The 19753-nt window shown below is 35.5% G+C and overlaps 1 long non-coding RNA gene and 1 pseudogene across 2 annotated transcripts in view; one reads left to right on the plus strand and one right to left on the minus strand.

The window, feature by feature from the left end:
* OFCC1 (orofacial cleft 1 candidate 1 (pseudogene)) overlaps positions 1 to 19753 on the minus strand; it is a 506631-nt pseudogene that overhangs the window by 335270 nt on the left and 151608 nt on the right. The gene's annotated exons all lie outside the window — the stretch shown is intronic.
* Positions 952 to 19753, plus strand: part of LOC105374919 (uncharacterized) — a 21159-nt gene continuing 2357 nt past the window's right edge. Inside the window, exons 1-2 of the long non-coding RNA XR_926457.2 lie at positions 952 to 1069; positions 16957 to 17022. This is a non-coding gene — a long non-coding RNA (uncharacterized LOC105374919). The remainder of the gene's footprint in view (positions 1070 to 16956; positions 17023 to 19753) is intronic.

Genomic DNA, 19753 nt, shown 5'->3' on the forward strand with positions numbered 1-19753 from the left:
ATGAGAGGTAAAGCCAGCTGGACTTCTGGGTTGAGTGAGGACTTGGGGAACTTTCCTGTCTTACAAGAGGATTGTAAAACGCACCAATCAGCACTCTATGAAATGCACCAATCAACAGGATTCTAAAAGTAGCCAATCGTGGGGAGGTTTGAAAAAAGGTAACTCTGATAGGACAGAAACGGAACACGGGAGGGGACAATAAGGGAATAAAAGCTGGCCACCCCCAGTCAGCGGTGGCAGGCTGCTGGGGTCCCCTTCCACGCTGTGGAAGCTTTATCCTTTTGCTCTTCACAGTAAACCTTGCTACTGCTCACTCTTTGGGTCCGTGCCATCTTTAAGAACTGTAACACTCACCACGAAGGTCCACGGCTTAATTCTTGAAGTCAGCGAGACCCCAAACCCACCAGCAAGAACCAACTCTGGACACAAAAATACCACATACTGGGTAATTGACAAAGAACAGAAACTTATTTCTCACAGTTCTGGAGGCTGGGAAGTCCAAGAGGAAAGTGCTGGCACTTGGTGTCTAGTGAGGGCCTGCTCTCTGCTTCCAAGATGGTGCCTTCTTGCTGTGTCCTCACTTGGTGCAAGGGATGGAAGAAAGCAAACCCACTCTTTCAAGCCCGTTTAAAAGGGCCCTAGTCCCTTTCATGAGGGTACACTTCTCATGCCTTACTCACCTCCTGAAGACGTCATCTCTTAAGACTATAACATTGGCTATTAAGTTTCAGCATATGAATTTTGGGAGACACATTGAGACCATAGCAGAAGACTACTCTGTTCTTAGGAAAAAAAGGATAGTATGTCCAGGTAAAATCTGATTCCCTCAAGGAATATGGTAACTTCTGGGAACCAATTAGGCCAGAGCTACTGTTTGCTCATTTAAAATCTGATGCAAGTTTTAGAAGCATTTAAATGATTCTAGAATGTTGTAGGAACCATTATAATGAGCAAAGGTTTTGAATTCGAGAGCAGGTGCTCTCATCTTTCCGAGAGTTAAGGCTGCTTTAAGGATCTGATAGAAGCTACTACAGGTCTTCTTCAGAAAAATTCAAATATTCACATACAGGTAAGTTTATGCCTATAATTCCCAGTATTCAGAGATTCCTGAAGCTCATGGGCCCCCATAAAGAATCCCTGTCTCAGAGGAATATGTGGGACAGTAAACCCATGTTCTGTGTCTTTACTAACCAGTGGAATGATCTTGAAACGGCCTTTCAGCATCTGTAAATTAAATATTCTTATTCCCACCTTAAAATATGAAGATTGGAGCAGATGGTTTCTAAGGTCGCTTCCACTTCCAATTCTACAGTTCTAACTTCTGAATTACATAACAAGTTCTGTTAACCATCCAATTTCAGTAATTTTTTATTCTTCTCTCTAGGTTTCTTAATTAATATTGATCTTGCTTTAGCTAGTGCTGCCAATTCTAAAGAAAATGGAAAATTACCTTAATCTTTATAGACACCTTGTAGATTCTGGATTTATAATTTACTGCCCAATTTTGTCCAAGTTTGTGTAAATGAAATTTACATATTTATATACTCTATCAATTACTTCATTATTAATGTGCAAGTCATGACCTGAGCTGCCTACAAATAGAATGAATGGATAGTAGTTGAATTCTTCCTCAAAATTCTTGTCACTCTGGAGATACTAGTCATCGTTAACCCCAAACTAATTTACTTCGTAGACTAAAGAGGGGGAAAGAAGGGAAACTACCCACTATTTATTAGTCCAGGATTTGACTATTGATATATCACAGATTGTCCGCGTGGATCACCTAAGTTTTCGAAGGTCAAAGTGCAGATACTCTGATTAAAAAAAAAATACTACTTACATTTGTATAGTCCTATACATCTGCAAAGTCCTATTTTGCACATGATCTCAGTTGTCATATCACCTTTTTATTTCTTATTTTACTTTTGAATAACTTTGGATTTACAGAAAAGTTGCCAAGATAGCACAGAGTTCTCTTATCCTGGTAATTTACCTAGCTTCCCTAATGTTACTATCTTACATAAATAACCAATACATTTGCCAAAACTAAGAAATTAGCATTAGTACAACGCTCTTCACTACACTACACACTTTACTCAGATTTCAACGATTTTGCTACTAATGTTCTTTTCCTGTTCTAGAATCCAATTCTGGACACCACATTACATTTGTCATCTCTCCTTAGTCTCAAGCAGCCTGTGACAGTTTCTAATCTTTCCTTGTTTTTCATGACTTGGCAATTTTGAAAAGTCTGGATCAGGTGTTTTACAGAATGTCCCTCAATTGTGTTTGTCCAGTGTTTACTCACGGTTAGATTGAGTTATGTGTTCTGAGGAAAGAAAATCACAGAGATGAAGTGTCCGTTTCATTACAGAATCTCAGAGGGCATGTAACATCAGCATCACTTACCACTTGTGATGTTGACCTTGATCACTTAGGTAAGGTAACATTTGACAGTTTTTCACACTGTAAATTACAATTTTTCCTCTCTCCTTACTTTATTCAATGGAAGCAAGTCACTAAGTGAAGGCTTATTCAAAGGGAGAAGAATTAAGCTTTAACTTCTAGAGGTGTGTGGTGGTGCAGGGGGGTGCATCTATACATATTATTTGCAGATATAACCACCTTTCCAAGCATATATTCCTGTTTCCATTTGTATAGGTGAAGACAGAGGCTCAGACTGACCAAATTACCCAGCTAGGATAGTTGAGCTAGTTTGCAAAATCAGCTCTTCTAATTCGAAATCCATTCATTTTTCCACAAAACCATAGCATCTCTATTTAAGTAGAGTTGTTTTTCCCGTGTTTTAGGGGGAGCCCAGCAATATACACTTCAATGTTTTACTTTTTTTTTTTTTTTGGTAACTGAAATACCTGACACCATTTTAATGTAGCCAAAACGTGCAGTGTGGTTCCCAAAATTTCCTGTGAGGTATATCATGTGATGTGAGAAAGTCTAGCTCCCTCAAGATCCCCTATATTGTCATTCTAGGCACTGTTCAGCCTCCTATCTCTTCAAATAGGTGTTTTTCTACTATAAGATTATCCTATCAAAATACATCTTCTTATAACATCAATAAAAGGAAGGATGGACCATTGTAGACCTTGCCTTAGATAAAAGAAAGATTTGTTTGTCCTCAAACTCAGTTCGTAACCTACCGCAATGCTGATCCACCAAAATGGGCTCACAGGCCTTCGTGGAGTGATCGAATTGTCTGAACAATCCAGGAAAATTGATAAATGCAGATTGTTACCTGCCCCATGTCACCAGGATCTTCCACATCACTCTGGTTGTAGACACCAGGCTGGGTAGAGCTACCTGCTGGTAATGATTTCCAGTCACATAAAAGGGAGGCCAAATTGTAACAGGTGACACAAAGGGGAAAGATTCTGTATCACATTACTAATTCCCAAGAGCTAACCCAGGTCACTGGACTTTCCTCGTGTGAAGTTCGGGAATTTACAGACATTTTAAAATTAGCATTTCTCCTGGCCTAATTACTTGTCTTAACAGTCAGTCAAGTAATGTCTAATAAGCACTCCCTGGCTTGTGGTGACTCACTAAGCCTATAGGAGACTTAATCCAGAATGACAGGGTCCCCGCCTACCAGGCACTTACCATCTAATACAAAGACAACAGACTCACACATAAGGGGAGACATTCCATCCAGACACAAAAGTGAGGGTTTATTCTGTGTTGGCTGTGTTTGGGGTGCTTGGATTTTGTTGTCTACTTTAGGGGTGTGTGTGTGTGTGTGTGTGTGTGTGTGTGTGTGTGTGAGAGAGAGAATGCAAGATTCTTGAGATGCAAGATTACAAGCACTAAAACAGTTACGGAACTAGGGGACAAAACAGAGTTCGCTGATTATCAATTTAAGGCTTCACTATTAAGTTGAATGGATTATCCCCCTAGGTGCTACTGTGCATTATGGAGGTTTTACAAAGTGGAAGCTCCAAAAATCAGACTTAACATGGACTGACCCCATGTATATCCCCTCACACCCTTCTTCCCTGTGTGTTTTCTGCCCTCCTGCACCATGGCCCTTGTCCTGCAAGTATGTTTAATGTGCCCTAATATGTGAGTCCCGCTCCCTAAAGAGGCCATAGTCAGGATTTGGTGTTGCTTTTGGTAAGGCCGCCATGCTTGTTAGTTCATTTCTTCTCTCTCCTTGGCTAAATGGTAACTACTAGCAGTGGAGTCAGAAGACTCACTTATCTCTATGGGATATTTTATCTCTCTGCCTCCATTTTCTAATCCATAAAAATACAGATAATACTCATGAGTTTATTGTGACAATTTTAAAAATTAGCTCCCCTCTCAAACATTTTATACACTGTCAAACACTAATCACACATAAGGAATCATTAAGGTTTTTATATATGACCTTGATTTAGTTTCCAATCCAATGGTAATCACCATTTTAGACTCTTCAGAAATTATCTCAAGTTGGGACTATATGTTGAATATTCTCATGAATTAAACTACTGATTTCCAGAGATCTTTAAAATTGATATGCTAAAATAAAAATAAATTACATATTATCAAATGTGTATTAATAAAAGCCCCAGGAAGAGTCAACCTGTTAAATCAGAAAATGCATGAGCTTCTTTTAAATCATTTTTAATTATAGTTGAATAACACAATATGAACTTTACAACTTAACCATTTTGAAGCATACAGTTCTGTGCAAGTTCACAATGTTGAACACCTACCACCACCATCCAACTTTAGAATTATTTCATCCTCCAAAACTGAGCTTCTGTATGCATTAAACACTAACTCTCCATCCTTCTCTCTCCCCACCCCTTAGCAATCACCATTCTACTTTCTGTCTCTATGAATTTGGCTGCTCTGTGTGCCTTTAATAGAAGTGGAATTACAATATTTGTCCACTGTGACTGGCTTATTTCACTTAGCATAGTCCAAGGTTCATTATCCTATTCAAGTATCCATTTTGTAGCATGAAACACATGGGGTTTTGTGCCAGGTGATCCATAGCTTGTATTCCATCTCTACCACTTAACCAGCAAAGTGAAAAACTAAGTGGTTTAGTCAAAAATACTACGGTTATGAAAATAATTTGGCCAAAACAGTGAACTGAACTTGTAAGCATACACAAACACACATACACACACACACACACGCACACATACCACAAAATGCCAGAGTACCATACTTAATAAAACATACTGTTTGACTCTGTAGTATTAAGTAAAATAAAAGCCCCAGGAAGGGTCAATCTGTTAAATCAGAAAATGCATGAGCGTTTTAACTCTGTTAAACGCAGTTAGTCCTTTTTTGGCTGCATTTGAAGAACCACCTGTTTATTTTTTATTTCCACTGTTGTGTGATTCTTAACAAGAGGCTATCACAGTTTTTCAAGGGTTTAGTTCACTATTTTGGGAACATTTCTAAAATTCTGCTATACTTTTAAGTAATAAAAGAATGTTTCATATAATCAGAAACAAGATGCCCAGTTGGAAAAAAATTGATATTGACTTTTATGATAATAAAAGCATCACTGAACTTAGATTGTAAAAGAGGAATTAGAACTTGTCATGCCAAAACTATATGGCCTACATGAGAAACCTCTGGAACACATGAAAATAGATAACCTATGTTTCCTGATCATTTGATCTTCAAGTATAAGAGATTTTCATGCAGCAGAGATGCATGCAAAGTTTTGTAACTTTCATTAATTTTTAATCATTTTCTTTTTTCAGAAAATCTTTGCCCTCCCATACACAAACTCTCTCATTTTTGTTTAGTTTGTTGTTAACTCATTTCAGACAAGTATGCCTTCTTTTTGTTTGTGTTTTCTACTTTTAAAATTTTATCTGTAGTAAATATTGCCTTTGTGATGAGAAGAAAGAAATTAATGATAATTAAATAATGTTAAAAGATAAATTTTCTACTAGCCCTACTTATGTGGAAATGCTCCCATGAAGTTTCTAACTTGAAACTTGAACAAAAATGATGCTCCCAGGCATATGTTCACATTTCTCTAACTCATCTGCCTAGTGAAAAGGAAGAGAGGTAGAACATGATTAATAGAAACTTCAGTTGTTTCAAGTTTTTTCTGTTACTAACAGTACAAAGCAAACATAGTTACCTAAATATGAATTTAAATGTTAAAAAGAAAAATATAAAGGAAAAAAATAAATATTCTCAACCCTGTTTATGTCACATGTGCTATATTTTTAATTAGGTAATTGTACTTATTTATTAAAAGTTAAATCTGAATGCAAAAAGAGAAAGTTCAACGATAATTGATTTATCAGCACCCACTGAAATGAACATGTTTTCAATAAAAGTAAGTCACTAGGAAAAACTGTTATCAAGTCAGTTATAAGTGAAGAATTTGTCAAAACAGGGCAAAAATTAAAATTAGGAAAAAATAAAATCTACATAATTTCTACATTATCTTGTTCCACTTTAAAGAAAGATAAGCTGGAAATAATAAATGAAGCTTCAAGCTTGTGATTTATGCAAAAAGACAGAGAGAGAAAGAGACGGTGGGAGGGGGGGTGCAAGAGAGAGAACTTCAATCATGGCCAACAAAAAATAGTATTTTTATCTCAGTTGACTCATTGAAGTTTGGATGCTGTATTTTATCTCTAGGAAAAAAAGCATATATTTGTGTGCACAGTAATGTTCTTGAATAAAGAGGAACACCAACCAAAATTTTTCTTTTTCCTTCTCCCCCTCTTTGTCCTTCATCTGTGTCATAAATGATACAAAGAAAACTGAAAGAATTAGGGAATGTGACACATGAATAAACCTTACCTGTCAGGTATGACTACTGAAATAAAGATTTGGGAATCACTGCCTTAGAAAACAACTTATAATCAACTCTGTGCATTTAATGGCTTATAGAGATGAAAAAAATCAATGCAGAACTGCTGATTTTGATATTTTAAACAAATAATTGCAAACAAGAATTTTCGAAAGTTCATGAGGTAGGAGGGGATCGAGGGGAAGCAAACTATTCAAAGTAGCAGGTGAGAAATCTCTACATAAAGTGGTTTCACTCTTTTTGGGTTTTTCTTAAAATAAAACAGGACCTCCTACAATTTTCCAGACAAAGAGAAAGTATTGACTCCAGAGTGCACAGGCCTGTGATGTACTAAAAGGGATCCTCTTGTGTGTGCAAGTTAATTCCATTAACAGAAGTGTTCAAGTTATCACAGAAAGCAGTTTGTGCACTGCATAGATCTGGTTCAACAAATGTTAAATAATAGCCCCATTCAAAAGAAAAGGACAAATATTGGGTGTGTGTGACAAAGGTTCCATTCTGTGTTAATTTTAGTCGATGAAGGTATGTGGTATTTATGCTCATCTCTTTAAGTCAGACTTTAATGCTAAGCCGGATATTTATTTGACAGTGTAAAGTCCTTAAAAAGCCCTCATTTGAAGCTTTGTATTGATTTGTCATTATATTCGAAGTCATTGCCTTTGTATTAGACTTAACAACATGTTAACATTCTGTGAAAAGAAGACCTGTTTCTACAAGTTCTTCATGGAGCTCAGAGGAGCAGGCAGAAACATCTTGCCCACAGTCAGTCACACACACACACACACACACACACACACACACACACACACTCTTTCTCTCTCGATCTCCTGAGAAAATTTTAAATCCTTAAAACTTCTGAAGGCTTTATAGGAAATGTCAACCAGCATTGCCCTTTGGACACTTTTTTTGGTTTGGTCTGGAATTTCACCATGAGCTTTGAAAAATCATAATAATTGTCAGATATACACACACATACATACATATACACACATATTTATTTATGTAACTGAATTATATAAATATGATATAGTGTGCACTCTGAAAAAACAAACAGTATTTAGAAAATCAGAAAACCAGAAGAGAAGATATCCTGAACAGTGCCTTTTACTTTTATAGCAAAGGGTTCTAAATTACAAGTGTGATAAAAAAACTATTCATTAATATTCAAGAAACGCATATTAAGAACTTACCATTTTCAATAGGATAAGAAAACATATGTCTCATTGGCACATTGATTTTAAAAGTACCTGTGCACTGATGCCAGATGCAAGGCCCCTTGCCAGGTAAGGCAAAGTTTGTAAGGATGTGTAGGACGTGATCCCTAATTCTCAGATGGTGTCTCCTTGTGTAATTTCCCTCAGATTCTGCTCACCCTCTCAGTTTTGAAGCCATTTTGCTACCAAAGACCCCAACAGGTGGAAGGGGGGAGAATAAGGAAGATGGGTGCCACAGTAATGCTGAGCCCTGCAGTATGGCCAGTTAGCACTCTTTTCCCAGTTGTGCGACAGCCCTCACCCTTATCTGCCCATGGCTCAGGTTTCAAGGAAATCAGTGAATTCAGTACCTGGTGCAGCCGAGAAAAGGAATGTCTCACAGTAATACCATAGCACATGTTCTAGTGTTAACTTTGTAAATATTAAAGTCTACAATAAGGATGTCTATAGTGCCCAGTTTTATCTCAGAATTGCAAAGTATATGAATCATATTGTCAAATATCCCCTTTGGACTATGAAGCAAACATCACTGGCCATAGCTTCTTGAAGAACGAAGTGAGCTAAAAAGTGTCTAAACAACTTGCTCAACATCCACAGGCAAACCAGTGAAAGGATTAGAAACAGAAGTCCTATCTCCCATCACCTATTCATTCCAGTATTTATTTTTCCAATTTTTGAAATTGTGTCCTTCATAACCCTGCCATCAGGAGACATTCAGACAGTTACCACATTTGAATTATAACAAGTAAACCACTCTTGAAATAACAGGAAGAGCTCATACTAATTTATTTAAAGCAGTATTCCTTAAAAACGTGGTGTTGTTTATTATAGAAGATGACGTCATTTTCAATGGTGCTCCCTGAGGGTGTTCAGTGCACAGTGAGCGGCCTAATGCAGCAGCCTTGCATGGGAATGTTTTATATACTAATTTTAACTAGAAATGTTCAAGTCCTGGATGTGAGGGGATGATGAGGTGAGGTGGTAACTGACAGAAGAGTGACTACTATTAATAATTAGTATTTCATAAAATATTTATTCATTTCAAGGCATTTTGAAATCTCTAGCTATTCAAATGGTCCTCAAAGGTGAATTTGAGTTCCTTTACTGAGTAGAAAAGAATATTGATGATCAAGATTTGACTACTACTGGCAAAATGTAAACTGTAGGAAATAATGTACCTTATTTTGAGAAGTGGATTATTGGTTTACTAAATAGAAATAGTAATACTTCAACTTTATTCCATACCAAAAACAAACAGGAAGACTTACTGGCTGCTTCCAATCACAACAATGAAAGGAATGAGGATTGAAATAAATGTTTGCTTAGCTTTTTTTAATTTTTAATTTTTATAGGTAGATAGTATATGTATATATTTAGCTTTATGATTATAAAGTAATTTCAAGCTAAATATTTTTATGTCTTCTCTATTCCCCCAAGTGCCTGGCATGACACTTTGCTATATTAATTGAAACAATTAAGTTTTCTATGTTAGTTGGGCAAAATTAAGGTAAAAATTGAAATGTATTAACAATGAAGAAGTTTCTGCCATTCTGATAGTTTTATTGAAAAGCCAGGATCAATGAGAAAAGCACTGAGCTAGATCTTGGTTTCACCCCTGCCTCTACCCATGTGTTATTTAGCTTCCTGAGTCTCAGTTTCTGCCATTGTAAATAGAAGGGTTTTTACTATTTGGGGTCTCTCAAGTTGTTATCAGAGAGTAGGGTTAAAAAGAGAAGACGATAATTTGTTTATCTTCAGAGGGAAGGATTATTTCAAACTACAGCCTCTTGAGATTCTAAAATTACTCTTCTCTAAAATGATATTTCCCACCCTTGCCCACTTGACAATCCTTTTATCTATGGAATTATGTTACATCCTTCAGGTGCTGGCATTTAAAAAAGTAGACATCCCCTGAAGATGACATTTCATGTCCTTTAAGTCATACAATTCTATGACCCATACCACTTCTAAGAAAAACAAATGCATCCATGAAGGAAAACACTCTTGATATAATGGTAAATAAATTAGTACCACAAAAAACATGACTGATTGTGGAAATGCAGACACAGAGGTGGGCAGCCATTTGGCAAGGCCCTCCCCCTCTAGCTGAAGCAACTTCCAGGATATTAGCCAGCACATTTTTCTCCCTTTATTTTCCTCTTTTTTCCCTTATTTAAGAAAGATATTTAAGAACTAGGATATTCAAAAGCAATCATATTTAAAAAGGAATTTAGAAAGTTACCATACACATCTAGGGAAAGGTGCAGGCTAAGAGAATAACTGAGAAAAACTTAAGTTTACACATCCCTGGCACAGAGACAGCCAACAACAACCAAAGAAAGAAACAAGGAAAGAAAGCAAAATAATACAGAACACCCTGGGGAAAACAGGGGTCTGATTTCCAGTTACCACATTATAAAATTCAAACATCTAGTTTCCAACAGAAAGCAAAATCATACAAAGAAACAGGAAATATAGTCCATGCACAGATAAATAAATAAATAAACACAAACTGTCCCTGAGAGAAACTAGATAGCACTTACTAGACAAGGAACAGCTGCCTTAAAGATGTGCAAAGAACTAAAGAACAACATGGAGAAAGTCTAGAAAATAATGCGCAAACAAAATGGAAATATCAATAAGGAGCTAGAAAATATAAAAAGAAACTAGAAAGAAAACCTATATCTAAAAAGTACAATTACATTAAATGAAAAATTTATTAGAGGATTCAAAAGCAGATTTAATGAGACGAAAGAAAAAAATCAGTAAACTTGATGATAAAATAGTTGATCAAGTCTGAGAAACAGAAAGAAAAAAGATTAAAGAAAAGTAAACAGAGCCAATGAACTTGTGGGACACCATCAAGCGGACCAACTTATGCACTAGGGGAGTCATAGAAAAAGAAGAGAAAGAAAAAGGGGCAAAGAGATAATTTGAAGAAACAGCAGCTGATAACTTTTCAAATTGGATTAAGGACATGAATATAAACATCCAGGAAGCTCAAAGAACTCTATGTAGGATAAATTCAAATAAATCTACACCAGGACACATTATGATCAAACTCTCAATAGACAAAGAGGAAATCTTGAAAAATAGCAGTAAGGGAGAAGTGACCTATCACATGCCAGGGATCCTCAAGAAAATTATCAGCAGATTTCTCATCAGAAATCTTGGAATTCAGAATGTAGTGAGCTGAAAGAAGAAAAAAAAAACTGTCAACCAAGAATCCTATATCTAGCAAATGATTCTTCAAAAATGAGGGAGAAATTAATTTTCCCAGATAAATAAAAGCAGAGGAGTTCATTATCATTGGACCTGCCCTGCAAGAAATGTAGGAGGAATTCCTTCAGGTTGACATGAAAAGATGCTAGACAGTAACTCAAAACCATAAGAAGTAAAGATCAGAGTAAAGGTAAGTACATGGGTAATTATAAAAGCTAGCATTATTGTAACTTTATAACTCCACTTTTGTTTTCTACATGATTTAAGAGATTAATGTATGGAAAATCATTAGTCTATGTTTTGGTACACAAAATGTAACAAATCCAATTTTGTGACACAATAGCTATTGACTATATACAAAAGGAAATTAGAAAGGATTTAAAATGTTTCACTATAAAAACAATAATTAAATTTAAAAGAAGATGATAATACACGAAATGAGGGACAAAAATCTAAAAGGCACATAGAAAACATATGCAAAATAACAGAAGTAAGCCTCTCTTTATCAGTAATTATGTTAGATATAAATGGAATTTATATCTAATTTATACACTTCAATCAAAAAACAGAGTTTGAAAGAACAAATAGGAAAACATGATCGACCATACACTGTCTACAAGAGACAAACTTTAGATCTAAAGACATAAATATGTTGAAAGTGGCAAATATAAATGAAAATATCACATATCAAAACTTATGAGATAGAGTAAAGGCAGTGCTAAGAGGGAAATTTGTAGCTATAAATGCTTATACTAAAAAAAAAAAAAAAAAAGACCTCAAATCAACAACTGAATTTTACAACCTAAGAAATTAGAAAAAGAAGAACAAACTAAACCCCAAGCTAGGAGAAGGAAAAAAATAATCAAAATTGTAGCAGAGATAATGAAATAAAAAAATACAACAGAGAATATCAATGAAACCAAAAGTTGGTTATTTGGAAATATTAACACAATTGGTGAACCTTTAGCTAGATTGGGGAAGAAAAGAGAAGACTCAAACTACTAAAATCAAAAATGAAACTGGGAACACATTGCCAATGCTACAGAAATAAAAAGAATCGTTAAGCGTTTCCTTTGAACAATTATGCACCAACCAACTGTATAATCTAGATGAAATGAACAAATTTCTAGAAACACGACACTTACCAAAACACAAAATTCCACCAAACATTTAAAGAAAAATTAACACCAATCCTTCTCAAATTTTTACAAAAATTTTAAGAGGAGAAAACACCATCTAACTCGTTCGATGATACCAGCATTTCCCTAATACCAAAGTCAAATAAAGACACTACAAGGAAATAAAACTACAAACCAATATATCTAATGAACTTTGATGCAAAAATCCTCAATAAAATTCTAGCAAACCAAATTCAGCACCATAATAAAAGGATTATATACCATGACCAAGTGGGATTTATTCCTGGAATGCAAGCATGATTCAACATATGGAAATTAATCAATGTAATATACTACAGTAACAGCATGAAAGAAAAATAAATACATGATCATCTCAATTGACACAGACAAACTATTTAGTAAAATTCAACACCCTTTTGTGACAAAAACACTCATCAAACTAGGAATAGAAGTTAACTGCCCCAACATAATAAAAGCCACATACAAAAAACCCACATCCAAATCATATGCAATGGTGAAAGACTGAAAGCTCTTCCTCTAAGATGAGGAACAGGGCAAGGATGCCTGCTTTTGCCACTTCTGTTTAACATAGCACTGAAAGTCCTGGCGAGAGCAATAAAGTAAGAAGAAGAAATAAAAGTCATTCAAATTGGAAAAGAAAAAGTAAAATCATTCTGTTGCAGATGATATAATCTTATATGTATACGTAGAAAACCCTAAAGATCTCAAACACACACGCACAAGCAAACACCCACAAAAAAACTGTTAGAACTAAAGAATATGAATGCAGTGAAGTATTGGATACAAAATCAACATGCACAAATCAGTGGGATCTTTATAAACTACCAATAAACAACCCAAAAAGAAAATTAAGAAAAAAAAATTCATTTTCAATAGCAACAAAAATAACAAAATAATACTTAAGAATTAATTTTACCAAGACTTTTACAAGGAAAACTACAAAACATTGCTGAAATAAATTAAAGACTTAGGTAAATGAAAAGATATTCTCTATTCATGGATTGAAAGATTTAATATTATTAAGATGTTAACACTACTCAAAGCAATCTGCAAATTCAATGTAATCCATATCAAATTCGTAAGAACATTTTTTGCAGAAATAGAAAACTCCATTCTAAAATGTATATGAAATCTCAAGGGACCCCAAATAGGCAAAACAATCTTTAAAAAATAGTTGGAAGATTCACAGTTCCTGTTTTCAAAATTTACTACAAAATTACAGTAATCAAAACAGTGTGGTATTGGCATAAAGAGAGACATGTAGACCGATGGAATAGAATAGAAAGCTCAAAATTAATCCTTGTATACATAGTCAAATGATTTTTGACAACAATGACAAGAGCGTTCAATGTAGAAAAGACAGTCTTTTCAACAAATGGTGCTGGGAAAACTAGATGTCTACATACAATAAAGTTGGACCCTTTGCTAACAACGTATCTAAAAATTAACTCAAAATGGATCAAAGAGACAAACATAAGAGCTAAACTTATAAAACTCTTAGAAGAAAACCCACACAATAGGAGAAAATATTTACAAATCACATATCTGATAAGAAGTTAATATCCAGAATATACAAGTCAAGTCAAAAGTCCTAAAACAAAAACAAACAACTTGATTCAAAAATGGGCAAAGAACTTGAATAGACATTTCTACAAAAAAGATGTACAAATGGCCAACAAGCACATGAAAAGATGCTCAACATCACTAATCATTATGGAAATACAAATCAAAATCACAATGAAATACCACTTTACACCCATGAAGATGGTTACTATAAGAAAAACAGAAAATAGCAAGAGTTGACAAGGATCTGAAGAAAATGGAAACTTTGTGTACTATTGATAAGAATATAAAATGGCACATCCACTATGAAAAACAGTATGGTAGTTCTTCAAAAAATTACAAATAGAATTAGCATGTTATCCAGCAATTCCACTTCTAGGTAAACACCCAAAAGAATTGAAAACAGGGTCTTGAAAAGATATTTTCACACCCATGTTCATATTAGCATTACACAACAGTGAAAAGGTAGAAGCAACCCAAATGTCCACTGAAAGATGCACAAATAAACAAAATATTGTATAAACATGCAATGAAACATTATTCAACCTTAAAAAGGAAGGAAATTCTGACATATGCTACAACACAAGTGAACTTTGAGACATTATGTTCTACAGATATAAATTTCTATTGTAGGCTGTGATGATAGTGGTGATGATGTCACTACTCTCATTACTGTTATGAATACTATCATTAATCTAAGTTGGCATATGAGACTGAAGAGTGGTGAAATGGAAAAGGATAAGGAGCAAGACAGATATATATGTGAACCCTGGCTGCTGCACTTATAAACTATGTGGCTAGAAAATTCTACTTTTATTATTTGAGCTTCAATGTTCTCACATATGAAACAGGAAATATAATACATTCCTTACAGAATCATAATAAAGATTAGAAATAATTTGGGTGAAGTGCCTAGCAAAGTGCCCAAAATTGGCACACAGTAGATGCTCAAAAAAAATCGCTATTATCATTTTAGTAGTAATAGTATAATTATATTGTTGCAAATAAGGAATATTGTTGCAAATACAGTAACACGGTATTTGGTACCTAGTAAGTACCCTAGAAATATCAATTCATTATCATCGTCACCACCACTGCCACCGTCACTGTAACACCAAGATACCTTCTTGTTTCCTTCCATTTGTTTTTTCACTGTTTTCACTTCCAATTGAGGTGCAACTGCAATCAGTGATCCTAGACAAGATCTTTTAAAGACAAGTTTATCTGTTATCTTTTTTCCAGATAAACTTATTTTCCATTTTAGCAAAATGTACTTGATCTAGAATAACTAATTTGACCTAAACATGAGGTAATACATCAATAAGTTCAAAATATTAATTCTCAATGCATTATGGCTTAACTCCTTCAAATATTTAGGAATTCACAAAAAAGAAAATTTAAATTCTTTTTTCTTCAACCAGAAAATATGGGTTTTCTGTAGTTCATCTTAAGTAATCAATATTTGTCAACACTTCTGTTCCCTCCAGAGGGTAGTAATTAAAATTGAGTAATAAATTACCATTAATGTACATAAATGTAAATGTCATATGTATCTTGTAAAATAAACATCTGGTGAAAATTGAGTGAATCTATACATTATAAAATGGAAAGCATTTTTCAGTGTTTCTTCAAAGCCTAAATAACTTTTATTTCCTTCCTAAAATTGGGGGCTTTCTGAGTAACATCATTCTTAGTTTATAATCTTTATATTTTTCCATGGCTCTGCATTTTCCCATCCTTACTTCGCTCCATATGTCTGAAACACTGTCATTTAAAACAGCAAGCTTACGTTAATTACCAGAGACAAGTGTTAATGGATTTTAATTTTGCTTTATTAGAATTTATGCAAATTTCACTGTGTTGAGATTCCAAATAAAATCCTTACAATCACAATTTCTCTCTCTCTCTTTTCTGTTTACTTTGTAGAAGGGAATGGGAAAAGTTTGCATTAGTATTCAGTGACAGGAACTGTTGACAGCAATATTCTTTAAGGAGAAATAGGTTTTATAAAATTATCTTTAAAACTGTGTGAGTTTGATAATTTGTTAATTAGCACTGATGTCTTTTCTCTATAGGTTCAAATATTCAATTACACTTTCTGATCCGGCTGCTTATTTTAACTGTCTTAATGGCTGCTTTTGTCTTGACCAAAATACGTGCATTGTTACACACTTAATAACATTCTTTTCCTTACGCCTAGTACAGCCCATGATATAAGTTTATTGGAAAGTTCTTCTGGTAACTCAATAAATACTCTGCTAAATGGAAAAGAATATGAGAATTTTAGATGTATTTTTAGCTCTAAATTATTATTTCTGTATTATCCAGGAGACATAAACACAACGTTGAGCTTTCTAATATTCAAAATTATTCAAACGTACTTTCTATTTTCATAGCTTTTCTTGAGGTATTAAGTGTGGCTTTATTCTATTCTAAAATTAAGATAAAGTTTTATACTTTTCTGTAGTTCTATATTTTTCTGTTCTATATACTGTTTTTAGTTCTATATCCTTTTCTGTAGTCCTATATTTTCAGTATTTTAACGTGCTGAACCTGTTATTTTCACAGTTGGAAAATAATAAAATTATATAAAAATAGATTCTTCTTTGTTGGGAATATCCATTTCAGGTTTGTGTACCTGATTCTATATCTTTTGTAATCTTATTTTTTAAATTGATGAATAACGATAGTACATATTCATGGGAACAATGTTTCAATACATACAACATATAGTGATCATATCAGGGTAATTAGCATATTCATCAGCTCAAGCATTTATCATTTCTTTGGGTTGGGAGCTTTTTCCAGAGCACTTTCACAGAATTTCTAATTTATAAATTCTCATAACACGAAAATGAAGCACTATCATCTCAATTTTCCACATTAGGAAACTGAAGCACCAGTTGAGTGTCATCCAAGCTAGTACAACTTATAACTGGCAAAGGCTGTATTGGAACAGTTTTACCTGACTCTAAGTAGAATGTTCTCTTTTCTACCCTAGATATCTCAATAAATGAAGTTCAGTCCTGAGGTTACCAAGACCTGCTTGCCTGAAGTAACTTCTCAGGTATCTCCATTTGGTGATTTTAAAAATATGTCCATCAATTATCTGATACATCTGTCTTCAGGAAGCCTAGTGTTATTCCCCTGTCCTCGAGAGCAAGCAGGCTGGATTTAGTGACTGGCTTCTAGTAAACATAACACCACTGAAATGAAGGTGTGTCATTTCCAAGATTAGGTTTTGAAAAGACTGTGGCTTCTGTCTTGGGGACTCTTTTGGATACTCACTCAGGGGAAACCAACTGCTTTGTTTTGAGGACACTCAGGCAGCCTTGTGGAGAGGTAGTTTTGGCATGGAACTGAAGCCTCCAGCCAAGAGCCAAGGGCACAAGCCTTCTCTCAAGGTCCAGTCAAACCTTCAAACGGTGCAGCCTCAGACAATGAACTGACTACAACCTCAAGAGAGGCCAGGAGCCAGAAGCACCCAACTAAGCCACTCCCAAACTCCCGATCCTCTAAAACTGTAAGATAATAGAGGCTTGTTGTTTTAGGCCACCATGTTTGGGGTAATTTGTCATCCAGTCATTGATAACTAACACAATGTGCTTGTCCAAACCTGTCATTCTTAGAGACAGGTCAATAAATCGGCGAGGAGAAGAGGCTGGGGCCCAGGGGTCCATTAGATATTCTGGCCTCAGATATACAAAAAGAGGCAACAAGTTTTAATATTCAGAAAGCAAATGGAGCACTGGATCACAGGACTTCTTGGGGCTCCACATAGCTAGCAACACTCATGGTTAACAGCTGGGCCTTGGGATCAGAACCTCCTGCATTAAAAATTCAACTCTAATGTTGAGTGTGTAACAAGTACAGATTATTTTGCCTCCCTGTGTCGGTTTCCTTGTGCACAAAATGGAAGTATTTTAGAACTTCACAAATTTCTTGTAAAGATTAAATGTGAGACTGCATGAAAAGTAGTTCTTAATACACAGTAAAGCCTCAGTAAATAAGAGTTATTTCAATTAGTACTAGTAGCAGTAGAGTTGTAGGAAAGCAGAGAAGGAGTAGAATCAGCTTTGTGAGAGCAATGCTTTGAGCCCTCTCAGGCCCTGGGTCCCACCATATATTGAACTCACCAGACCTAGGAGTCCACTGGGTCATATGGGACCCAAAGACTCTATGGCCCTGGGCCATATGGCACCTGGGGATTTCCAGATGCTGATAATCTGGTAGCCAGTGAAGTCACCCAGCAGGGCATCTGAAGTTGCTTGTCTCACAAAGCATGTGTTTAGAGTTCAGTAGTTGTTCAAATGGTATGGAAACTAGGATGATGTGGGGTTGGAGCAGGGATAGAAGGGATTCACAAGGTGATAAGAAAATAGGGTGAAAAGAAAAACTCAGGCCAATGACCAAGTGCAAGATGTAGTTGAAGCACAACTGCACGGCTGCTGCCATTCAGAACGTTAGCCTGTTTCTTAGGACAAAGAGAAAAGCCCCTATTACACAGAGGAGCCTGTAATTCAACTTTCAAGGATGAGTGTTCCAAGAAAGGGACGTAATGTGTTATTTAACCTTGCCCACAGTATCTGTCCAGACTTTTACCACTCATGCCCTATTAAGTACTCTCTTCCTCTTAAAGAGGAGATGCAAAGCCCTCTCTAAAATGACAGTGCGTGATCTACAAAGCAGGATTTGGAAATGGCAACAGTGCCCACCATTATAATTAATGCCAGACGTCTTCAAAGACCTTCTTTCACCTACAAATGAAACTAATTATTAGTCTTTTTCTCTGGGAGTCCTTCACTGTGTGATGCAGGAGCAGCAACAGCTGGGTCATCCCTTGCAGTTTATTCTCAAAGGCCTTTGAATAAATCTGTTTTGAATTCTATAGCCCACCCTCCCCCACTACCTAAAAGAAATATTCAGGAAATAGAACCTAGTAAAATGATTTATAGCAGCCTACAGTCTGGTGGGGAACATGCCGGGATTGAGGCAATGAATTCCAGCCCCTCCTTGTCTGTGCCCAGGTGTAAACAAACAGTGTTAAAAGAACCAGGTACAAACCCCGGTGCTTCATCAAAACTTTAAGGCAAAGATCTAGAAAAAGAAAGAACAGAGCTAACCTTTTAAGAACATATTTATAGAGCATCTAAGGAAATAAAAGGATTCAAAAGAATTTTAGGACTGGAATGGATCTTTGAGATTCTCTTAGTTCAACATCATTGTTCAATGTTTCTCCCATGCCACGTGCCATCTGCCAACCTCAAGTCAAAGCAGTAAAAACTGAGGCTCCAAGACCTTAAGTGGTTGTCTCTGTGCCAGGCAGACCAGAGGCCAGTTCCTTTGATGGCTAATCTTATTCTTTTCCTACTCCATTAAATTTTTTAAATTGTGTTTGTTTGTGCCCTTTGGATGGGCAGTGTCCAAAATTAGAATAGTTCTTTCTTAGACATGGTTCTGCAGGTACTGCTCTTCACCTGGCTTTTCACCTCTGAGCATGAAGATAAGGACTGTCAATGCCATTCAGGCCATCACCATGCCTAAAGGGTTCTTTGAATGTGCAAATTTATAAATACAAAAAAAATGCATTGAGAAAAACTAAATCTACATCTGGAATATATGCCGGTTACTAGAAAGTTAATCCACAATTACAAAGACTCTTCACGGACAGGCAATGTGTTTGAGATTCTTCCATCCTGCAAAAGGTGTAGATTAAGCCCTGAGAAAAGAATGTCAGGAGGAAAATATCTCTTAATTTGTTCTGATTCCTCCTCCCCCCCTCATCAATTTCCTGTTTG

The sequence above is a fragment of the Homo sapiens genome, chromosome 6 (assembly GCF_000001405.40).
Source record: "Homo sapiens chromosome 6, GRCh38.p14 Primary Assembly".
In the NCBI taxonomy this organism is placed as follows: domain Eukaryota; kingdom Metazoa; phylum Chordata; class Mammalia; order Primates; family Hominidae; genus Homo; species Homo sapiens.